Source organism: Homo sapiens, chromosome 13 (genome assembly GCF_000001405.40).
Source record: "Homo sapiens chromosome 13, GRCh38.p14 Primary Assembly".
In the NCBI taxonomy this organism is placed as follows: domain Eukaryota; kingdom Metazoa; phylum Chordata; class Mammalia; order Primates; family Hominidae; genus Homo; species Homo sapiens.
In genome coordinates, this window is record NC_000013.11 from 48,259,363 (window position 1) to 48,270,558 (window position 11,196).

Genomic DNA, 11,196 nt, shown 5'->3' on the forward strand with positions numbered 1-11,196 from the left:
TGTCAGGGTAGTTGGAAAGGAATTTGGGTGAAGAACTAAGAGCATTGATACAACTAATGTTGTAGCTTTGCCAAATCATTTAACTTTTATTTTCTCACCTGAAATATAAGAATTACAGTATCTCCCCATTTCCTTTTAAGAGCATTGTGAAAATAAAAAGAAAGTACATGTGGCAGCTGTGGAAAGTAAGAAGTGCCATTCAGATACACTGTGGTGTGATTTCTTTGGAATTGTGTCACCCAGTAAAAGTGCTTTCCTGGCTTTTTGCTAGCATTTTAAATAATACTGTTCTCTCATCTCCGGCGGTTGAGTCATCTGAAACCAGCTTGATTTCTTTTTTTTTTTTTTTTCCAACTTTTATTTTAGATTCAGGGGTACATGTGCAGGTTTGTTACAAAGGGTATATTATCTGATGTGAGGTTTGGGGTACAGATGATCCCATCACTCAGGTAGTGAGCAAAGTACCCAATAGGTAGTTTTTCTTTTCTTTTCTTTTTTTTATTATACTTTAAGTTCTGAGTTACATGTGTACAATATGCAGGTTTGTTACATAGGTATACAGGTGCCATGGTGGTTTGCTGCACCCATCAACCTGTCACCAAATTAGGTATTTCTCCTAATGTTATCCCTCCCCTAGGCCCCCACCTCCCGACAGGCCCCAGTGTGTGATGTTCCCCTCTCTGTGTCCATGTGTTCTTATTGTTCACCTCCCACTTATGAGTGAGAAGATGCAGTGTTTGGTTTTCTGATCTTGTGATAGTTTGCTGAGAATGATGGTTTCCAGCTTCATCCACGTCCCTGCAAAGGACATGAACTCATCCTTTTTTATGGCTGCATAAAATTCCATGGTGCATATGTGCCACATTTTCTTAATCCAGTCTATCTTTGATGGACATTTGGGTTGGTTCCAAGTTTGCTATTGTGAGTAGTGCCACAGTAAACGTACATGTGCATGTGTCTTTATAGCAGCATGATTTATAATCCTTTGTGTATATGCCCAGTAATGGGATTGCTGGGTCAAATGGTATTTCTGGTTCTAGATCCTTGAGGAATTGCCACACTCTCTTCCACAATGGTTGAACTAATTTACACTCCCACCAACAGTGTAAAAGCGTTCCCCAATAGGTAGTTTTTCAACCCTTACCTCCTCCCTCCCTCCCTCCCTTCCTTATAGTCCTCAGTATGTATCATTCCCATCTTTATGTCAGTGAGTTCCCAGTGTTTAGCTCCTATTTATAAGTGAGAGCATTGTAAGGTAGGTATTTGGTTTTCTGTTTCTGTGTTAATTCATTTATGATAATGGCCTCCAGCTGTATCCATACTGCTGCAAAGGACATGATTTCTTTTTTATTGCTGTGTTGATTTCTTACATTTTAAAATTCTCTTGGTTCATAATTTTTTTTAAAGTCAGCCTTACACGTGCCATGAAATTTACCCTTTTTAGTGTGCAACTCTGAGTTTCCACAAAGATACACAAGGTCTTGCAAGCACCACCATAGTCAAGATACAGAACATTTTCAATACCTTCAAGTTCATGAATTTGTAAGCAGTCTGGATAGCATTATTAATGTTGCTGTGATCTGTCAAGATATTAATACTTGGTTCAGAAAAGGGAGAAAAATTACTTTTCTTCAGTGTAAACATTCAAACTGTAGAAGTTTTTGTGGAATATAGAGTGAAATACTTCTATATGTCTAAATAATAACTATAAAAATGATGTGAATATTTATTATTAAAGAATCAAAATTTTAAAAAACTTTTTTCCCTCTCCAACAGGTATTCAGAAACGTGAAGCCAGCAATTGTTTCGCAATTCGGCATTTTGAAAACAAATTTGCCGTGGAAACTTTAATTTGTTCTTGAACAGTCAAGAAAAACATTATTGAGGAAAATTAATATCACAGCATAACCCCACCCTTTACATTTTGTGCAGTGATTATTTTTTAAAGTCTTCTTTCATGTAAGTAGCAAACAGGGCTTTACTATCTTTTCATCTCATTAATTCAATTAAAACCATTACCTTAAAATTTTTTTCTTTCGAAGTGTGGTGTCTTTTATATTTGAATTAGTAACTGTATGAAGTCATAGATAATAGTACATGTCACCTTAGGTAGTAGGAAGAATTACAATTTCTTTAAATCATTTATCTGGATTTTTATGTTTTATTAGCATTTTCAAGAAGACGGATTATCTAGAGAATAATCATATATATGCATACGTAAAAATGGACCACAGTGACTTATTTGTAGTTGTTAGTTGCCCTGCTACCTAGTTTGTTAGTGCATTTGAGCACACATTTTAATTTTCCTCTAATTAAAATGTGCAGTATTTTCAGTGTCAAATATATTTAACTATTTAGAGAATGATTTCCACCTTTATGTTTTAATATCCTAGGCATCTGCTGTAATAATATTTTAGAAAATGTTTGGAATTTAAGAAATAACTTGTGTTACTAATTTGTATAACCCATATCTGTGCAATGGAATATAAATATCACAAAGTTGTTTAACTAGACTGCGTGTTGTTTTTCCCGTATAATAAAACCAAAGAATAGTTTGGTTCTTCAAATCTTAAGAGAATCCACATAAAAGAAGAAACTATTTTTTAAAAATTCACTTCTATATATACAATGAGTAAAATCACAGATTTTTTCTTTAAATAAAAATAAGTCATTTTAATAACTAAACCAGATTCTTTGTGGATACTATTAAAGTAACATTTAAGCCTCAACCTTGAATGATGTTGTTTAATATAAAATGCTTTTATTTTTGATGGAAAGGCAATCAAAGCCTAAAGTTTCCAAGGAACGTAAAATAACTGTGCTTCTCTGAGAATGCCCGCCTCACAAGTGGAACATTTTGAGTTAATAATGATGATTTTTATGTTTCTAAGGTTGCTTCCTCTCTGAAATAATTCAGAATCCACCCCCATTTAATAAAATACCTATGATTCATTTCACCTCAAGTTCCTAAGACAAAAAATTTCAATTCTGACTTTAGGAGGTCAGAGTTTTTAAAGCTTCCAACTCTTAAAGGATTTAGTCTAGAAACCAATTCTAATTCAAAAGGATATTATTTACTCATGGCTTTTCATTTCATTTCAGTAATATTGTCAGAACTTTAAGTCAGTGAGTTGGGTATTCAGGAATTAACAATTTTAGAAGACAATATGTTTCAATAAAATGAGAATTGGTTTTTCCTACTTTCCAGGCTCTAAAATTACATGAATTTTCAGGGAGCTGTGAACATTTAGGAGCACATTATTCATTCAGCATCTTTTATATGCCCAACATATGATATTGTGTTGAAGATATATCTGCAAAGAAGAAAAAAAGCCACTGCCGTCGTGGAGACTCACAATCTAGGAAAAGAGAGGGACAGCAAACAACTCATTACAATACATTGGGATCAGTAGTGTGAGGGAGAAAAACAGGTCTAGGTTCTTTGGAAAACATTTAGGAGAGTCAATGAGACTTTCAGAATGTGAAGTGCATGGGATTAGGTCATGGAAGAAGACCATGTATGTCATCTTGAGGACTTCATTCTGTAGACCATGGGCCACTATTGAAGTTTTGCATTTTGGAAGGAGCTTATTAGTTTGTTTTCCTGTTGATTATAGTAGTAATGCAGTATCAGGGTAGCTGAACTGCAATAATAATCCCAACATCTCACTGGCTTCATGCAGTAGGAATATGCTTTCATCACAGTCCAGTATGGCAGGCAACCTCCAGACTCCCAGGGACCCAAACTTACACTTTACTAAATGTAATTCTTTCATTTGAATTTTTAAAGGTTTTTGTATAATCATCTTAGTAAAACATTTGATAATTCTTCACAACATTTGCAATCATTGATTTGGCCAGATTGGTCTAACATGGTACCCATGATTTTACTTCATTTCCAGTACTATTCTGATAATTTCCTTTAGAGTCAATTGAGTAGAGAGTACCCCTCTCACCTAAGCTTAGTCATGTCCCAGGAATTTTGGAACTCCAACTGAGATTTCAGGCTCATTATTCATTCTAGGGCTGAATGAATAATGTGCCCTTTGAACCCTTGTGCCATGCTGGAAACTGTGGTCTTGGTGTGGCATGGAAAAACCAGAGGGTGAGGGATGTGGATGAGAAGATGACAGAGAATCAGACATGCAGAGAGGACTGCCAGGTCTCCCAGTGGGTTCCAGGGAGACTCAGCTATCCTTCCCTCTTCTTGAGTTCTGTCTTAGTCCATTCGGGCTACTATAACAAAATACCATAGACTGAGTGGCTTTAAACAACAGAAGCTTGTTTCTCACAGTTCCAGAAGCTGGAAAGTTCAAGATCAAGTCACCTGCAGATTCAGTGTCTGATGAGGTCCTCCTTCCTCACAGAAAGCTCTCTTCTCTCTGTGACCTTATATCACAGATGACTCTGGGTTCCTCTTACAAGGACACTAGTTCCATTCATGGGGGTTCCACTCTCATGACCTAACACCTCTCAAAGGCCCCATTTCCTAATACTGTCACCTTGGGGGTAAGGATTTCAACATGAATTCTGGGGGGACACAAACATTCAAACCATAGCAAGTTCCATAATGCACCCCATCATATGTGTGTGTGTGTGTATTTATTTATTTATCTAAGATAGCTCTAGTTTGCTGCTTTGCAACACATTCTGCCCCTATTGCATTGGTTTAAAAAAAAAGTACAGAAGTCAAGATGAGACTATATAAATCTTGACAAGTTGTTGGCCGTGATTGCTCTTTTGTGATGCAGGAGTGAGAATCTGGAGAATCTGGCTTAAGAGGTGGCTGAGAATTAAAATAATAGGCATGAAAATGCTTCATACAGCTCTGTACAGTTGTTGACAGTGCCTTTTTTGAAACCTATCACTGCTATATGTTAGCAAGCAAACACTGATCTTGTTTTGTAATGTGTAATTGTTCACTTCTGCTTTCCCTGTATCCCTTTTTAGATTCCACACCCATATTAGTGAGAAGCAAGAAAAAAAAATGTACACAGTGTCCTAAATGTTGTTTATCTCGAATAATAGAAGTAGGAGTGTAAAACTTAAAGGCTGATTAATAATGCAAATGAAAAGGCAAATGGATTATTGAATAGAAAAGGTCTAGATTCTATGTTTGAATGTGGTTATGAATTAATATGGGCAGAATCTCTAAGATTCTGCTAAGTGAACATTTAGTAGTTTACTAGACATCTTCTCTTCCACCTAGCAAAGAGTTTGTTGCCCAGAGTTATATAAATCCTACTCTATTGCACACTAATCTTTGCATGTTTAACTCTTTGGGACTTAGGTTCCTAGATAAGGACTTCATGTGTATCTATTTAGAAAAAGAACATTTCTTCATTTCCACAAAGCTACACAGCCATCAGTTCGTTCAATATCTTGTCCAAAGTTATTGCTAGCGTTCTTCTTTCTGAGTCTTTGTGGCTAATGCTTTTTTGAGGAAGAAGCATGATTTAGTCTCAGCTCTCTATTGATCATTTTAGGCTTTTATCTTACTGAAAAAATTAAGCACAATTTAAGATTTTTTTTGAAATATTTACTGAATTTTGAGGCCATAAATTATTTCCTGATAGCACACATGTATGGGTTGTAGATTCCACACTTTTAATCTTCCAGCCACCTATTGCAGATTGGTTCTGAGAAGCAGGATGAGTGGGAGTGGGCTTAGGGGTCAAAATTGAGACCTAAGTGGTATAAAACAAGATAATCCTAGCTTCCTCCCACTTAAAATAATTTGATGGGACTTCTGTATCTGATTTTTAAGCTTGCATTTGTGTTTATATTTTCATTGTAAAAATATCAAATAATACAGTTTTTGAAGGTAAAAAGTAAATGTTCCCGCCCTTCTACCATCCTCCTTCCTCAGTCCCATTCCCCAACAGTTTAACGTGCGATACAATAATGTGTGACACAAAATGACCTAGTTCTTGCCCTAGTGACTAAGCAGATGCAAACGCCTTCTTCTTTCCAAACAGTGTGGTCTTATCCCCGTCGCAAATGGAGGATATTTAAGAAACCCAAGCCAGAAACCCCACAGTCTTCACAGTCACTGTGTCCTCCACCTCCTAGCAGCTTCCTGCTGTTCTGCTCTAGTGGTTCTCTCTGCTTCCCCACACCCACCCGTAAGCCACAACAATCTTTCCAAAACACGAACTTGATGGTTTCATTGTCACACCCCAGCTTAAAACACTTTCCTGGCTTCCCCTGGTTCTTAGGATAAAGACCAAAATACTTAATGCTGCACAGTCCAGTCCCAACCCACTCTCCAGCTTCATCTTAATCACACCCCTCTTTGCTCCTAGTGTCCTACCACATTGCCTGACTTACTGTTTCTTGGTAAATGCTATTCTTACTTCCTGAAGATTATTTCCATCTCCTCACCCGACACCCTTCAGTTAGCTTCCACTCAACCTTCAGAATTTAGTTCAGGTGACCCTTCCTCAAGAGAAGATTTTCCTGAACCATTAGGAAAGGCTTCTCTTGTTTCTCAGTCTCATAGCATCATCTGTCTCTTTTTTGTGACTTGAATATAATTAATATTTTATATTTTGTCCTTGTTGCTTGTTTGGTTAATAGATTTCCACCACTAGACTGCTCAATACGTTAGTAGGGCACCTGACACATAGTTGCAGCTCTTATTTATTGAATGAATGAATGATTCCTTCCCGTACCACCCTAGTCTTGCCCACTGTCATTTTTATTCTGGGTATTATATTTCCCAACCAGTTGTCTGACTTTCTCCTCAGATCTCATCCCCATGGGTCTGAGTGAGTTGCCTTGAATATAAGATTCAGTGATGGTGTCCTGCTGCACTTAAGAGAAAATCCTTTTTTCAAGCCCTAAAATCCTGCCCTCACTAGACTTCTCTCACCATTTCTCTGTTTGCATCCTAGCCTTTTAGTTTTGGCCTCATATAAGCTTGCAGCCCTGCCTGAAACAGTTGTCTCTGTCCCCACTCTACCCCCTGCCCTCCACAAAGAAAAGTTAACTCTTACTCATCTTTCAGATCTCAGACTAAAAGTTTCCTCAGAGATGCCACCATAGCTCTCTATTTCTCATACCTTTCATGATACTTCATCACCTGTCTTCATGAAGTCCTCCTCTAGACTATTAGCAAAATGCTCATACTGTGTCCTCAGTATTTGGCACATAATAGGTTTTCTTGACACTGAAGGAAGGAATAAACATCTGGTAACTATAGCTAGAAAAAAAGGAAATACGGTATCTACTTCACTAAAACCAAAGGGGGTTTTTTTGGGCAGACAATCTTCATTATTCAGATGGAAATTAATGTTTGTTGAATGAATGAGCTACATTTCATGGATTAACTCCATGAAATGGAGTTCAGCTAGTAAGGGTTATACTTTGAGGCTATTTCATCTTGATGGGCTTGTTGTTCAAAGTTAGAGCCTCATTTTAAGTAAAATGTTCTGTGGGGGCCATATTAAGATTTTCATATGACAGAAGTGTATATATATCCACAAATGTTTCAAGCCAAGATTATGTCTTCTTCCATAATGCCACCTTCTTCTAGGATAGTATTTTTGGGCCAGATGGTTTTCCACATTTAAAACATACCAACATTCTTTTAAGGCCCAGTGATTATCAAAAGGGATTGGCACTACATTTTAAAATGTAGGGGGGATTTTTGATTGTCACAGGACTAGAGGATGCCATTTGTATTTAGTAGATGAGGCCAGGCAGGATGCTAAATGTCTTAAAAGTCCGGGAGTCCTGCACAAAAAATTACTGCCCTTCTTGATTTGCCAATTATGCCCCTGCTGGGAAGCATGAAAGGAGAGAGAAGAGCTTTCAGAATGTCAGGGATAAATATATCCATTAAGCCTTCAGACTAAGATGCAGGAATAGTTTTCCATTTGGGTATGAATACGGCAAGTTCTTAGAACATTTCTTAAAACATAATTAGCCAAATACTAGTGTAACAGCTACAACTTATCTAGTTTTAATCAACTCCAGGGAACATTACACTTTATTTAACCCCTAATTATCTGATAACCCAAGTTCTGTCAGAAACACTGCTGAGGCATCCAGGAAGATGAGCCTGTGAAATTTGAGAATCCTTCATGTCTCTGGAATGAGTCCCTAGATTCTAGCCCTGCAGCTAGCTGACACTCTAAAAAATTATGAGTGCCTTCCTTTAGCTCCCCATAGAAATGTCTTTGTATAACCATGGCATGATATTATTCTCTTGACTTTTGTTGAGGATTGATAGAAATAAAAATGAGCCAGAAATGTTTCTTCAGCTTTTGTAAAGTGCTGTTAAAAGCATTATGTCATATCTAGTACTTCTTATCTAAGTATTTTAAAATTTAGTGTTAGGAAAATTTTTTTCACATAGGATACATGTTAATATTAGGTAGTACATCTAAAGAATTCATTTGCTTCCCTTTTGCCTTGGTTGCTGGGAAACTCAGAGCCAAACTCGGTGCTTAGATTAATTACTTTCAGCCTAGGTTTTTCTGTATATCACCCTTTCGGTAGGGCTTGAAGTAACCCTTCAGTTTGCTCATATTTTGTTGTGAGTTTTATAGATAGTTTACATGCAACGAAATGCATATATCTTAAGTGTTCAACTCAGTGAGTTTTGACACTTTTCTTTGTCCATGTTAACAATCATCAAAACATTTTCATTGCCCCAGAAAATACCATTGTGCTCCTTTCCGGCAAATATTCCTTCCCTCTGCTAAAACTACTTTTTCATTTCTATGACCATAGTTCAGTTTTTGGCTATTCTTGAACTTTATTTGAATGGAATCGTACATATATAATCTTTTTGTTTGGCTTTTAAAACTCAGTATAACGTTTTGACATTTGTCCATGTTGTTGCATGACTCAGCAGTTCTTTCTTTTCAGTTGCTGTGTAGTAGTCCATTTCTTTTGGTTTTGTGTGTGTGTGTGTGCTTTTTAAATTTATTTTTTATTTTTTTTTTTTTGAGACAGAGTCTGGCTCTGTCAACTCAGGCTGGAGTGCAGTGGCATCATCTCGGCTCACTGCAATTTCTGTCTCCCAGGCTCAAGCCATCCTCTAACCTCAGCCTCCCGAGTAGCTAAGACTCTACAGGCGTATGCCACCATACCTAGTTTGTTTTTGTTATTTTTTTTAGTACAGATGGGGTTTTGCCATGTTGTCCAGGCTGGTCTCGAACTCCTGGGCTCAAAGCAATCCACCCTCCTCGGCCTCCCAAAGTGCTAGGATTACAAGTGTGAGGCACTGTGCCCTGCCAGTATTCCATTTTTTGTGTATACCACAATTTATCATTTTTTTCTGTGTAGGTATTTTCATTGTTTCCAAGTTGGGAAGTATGAATAAAGTTGCTATGAACATGCATGTACAAGTCTTTGTAGATAGCTCATGTTTTAAAAAGTGTTTGTTTAATGATTTCATTGCAAAATCATCTTTATTGTAAACATATCTTTTTGAGGGTAGATTGGTAAAATATACATAATAAATACATGACAATGCAGGAGTCCAAGTATTATTAGGTTTACAGTCATAACAAACACCAAGAACCATTTATAAATTTCAGTTTCTCATTGTTTTAGAATGGAAGGTCTAACCAAATATGTAATGTATCCCTTCAAGTAAACTAGTATAACTTGGGTACCTTCTCATATAAATTCCCCTTAAGGCATACGTTGCTGTCTTTTCCAAATTCCCATTTTGCTTGTCCAATAGGCATTATCAGATACAACATGTTCAAAGGCAAACTTGATTTTCCTCCCATGGTTTCCTCATCTCAGCTCCTTTTTTTTTCCAGTTGCACAGGCTAAAAATAGGAAGTCATTCTAGATTCCTCTCTTTTTCATAAACCTCACATCAAATCCATCAGCCAATCTGGTGTGCTCTACCTTCAAGATACGGATTATCCAGAATTCAGCCGCTTCTCACTGTCTCTACTGCTAACATAGTAGTCAAAGCTGCTATCATCTCTTGCTTGGATTGGTGCAATGGCCTCACAACTGATCTTCCTGCTTCCATACTTGACCCCTAGAGCCTCTTCTAAACAGAGTAGCTAGAGCGATCTTTTCTAAATCTAAGCCACATCATGTCACTCCCCTGCTCAAATCCCAACATTTTATTCAGAATAAAAGTCGAACAATGCCCTACCTGTAGGTAATCTAGGCCTCCAAAGCTCTTCTTACATCACCTCCTGTAACTCTCCCCCTTTCTCACTCCTCTACAGCCACACAGCTGCCTCACTTTCCTTTGAACGTACCAAGGGCAATCCTGCTTCAGAGCCTTTGCACTTGCTGTTTCTGGGCCAGGAATTCCACACCCTCCTTCCCTCACATGTATCCCAAGGCTCACTGCCTTCCTTCAGTTAAGTCTGCTGGAATGTCACTTCATTAGGTATTGCCTGATCACCTTTTCTAAAGTGAGTCTCACCTCCACCCTCAATGCTGGCAATGTCTGTCTGTAGTGTATTCTTAACAATACAGATTAGCACAATGCAGGCCAGACCATGAAGACTGTTTCAAGTTCGAGGATGGGCAAAAATAATGACTAGGACTTGGCTCAAGATTCCTCAAACAGCCAATAAACAATGCAAAGAATAAATGAGAGAGTAATTGGAGACAAGCTTTCCCTTGGCTTCCCTTCTTTTCTCACAGAGGCTTTTCCAGAAGGTGGTCATTTCCATAGCCCATGTGGAATGAGATGTCCACTAGGGCAGAGAAGCACAGAACCGTGGGCACTGCTTCCCTTCCTTTAACCCTATCATATTGCTGCCCAGTGAGCAATATGGTCATTGGTCAAGAAGGCTTATGCCCAGGTATCCCTGTGGCTATGAGCATTGCTCCTTATCTATGCCTCTGCTCTTAGACTTTTCCATTCTGCCCTCTTAGGGGCCTTCCTGGCCATGACCACACTACCTTATTTTTCTCTATAGTACTTATCACCATCTGACATGTATTTATGTTTGTATTTGTTTATTGTCTGTCTCTACAAATAAAATGTAAATTCCCTAAAAACAGAGACTTTATTATTTTTGTTCATGTTACATCCTCAGCACCTAGTAAAGCACCTGGCACGTATTAGGAACTCACTAAATATTTACTGAATGAACTTTGTTCAATAAATTTAACATGGTTCTATGTAGCCTCCTTTTTAAAAATTGGCTCTGTTATATAGACTTCAGGGGCAACTGATAACAAACAAAACCAAACTTGGCT

General features: G+C 37.7%; 1 protein-coding gene across 1 annotated transcript in view; it reads left to right on the forward strand.

The window, feature by feature from the left end:
• ITM2B (integral membrane protein 2B) overlaps positions 1-10,995 on the forward strand; it is a 37,152-nt gene extending 26,157 nt beyond the window's left edge. Inside the window, exon 6 of the mRNA NM_021999.5 lies at positions 1,777-10,995. Coding sequence (NP_068839.1) covers positions 1,777-1,862 — 86 coding nt within the window. The 3' untranslated portion in view covers positions 1,863-10,995. The remainder of the gene's footprint in view (positions 1-1,776) is intronic.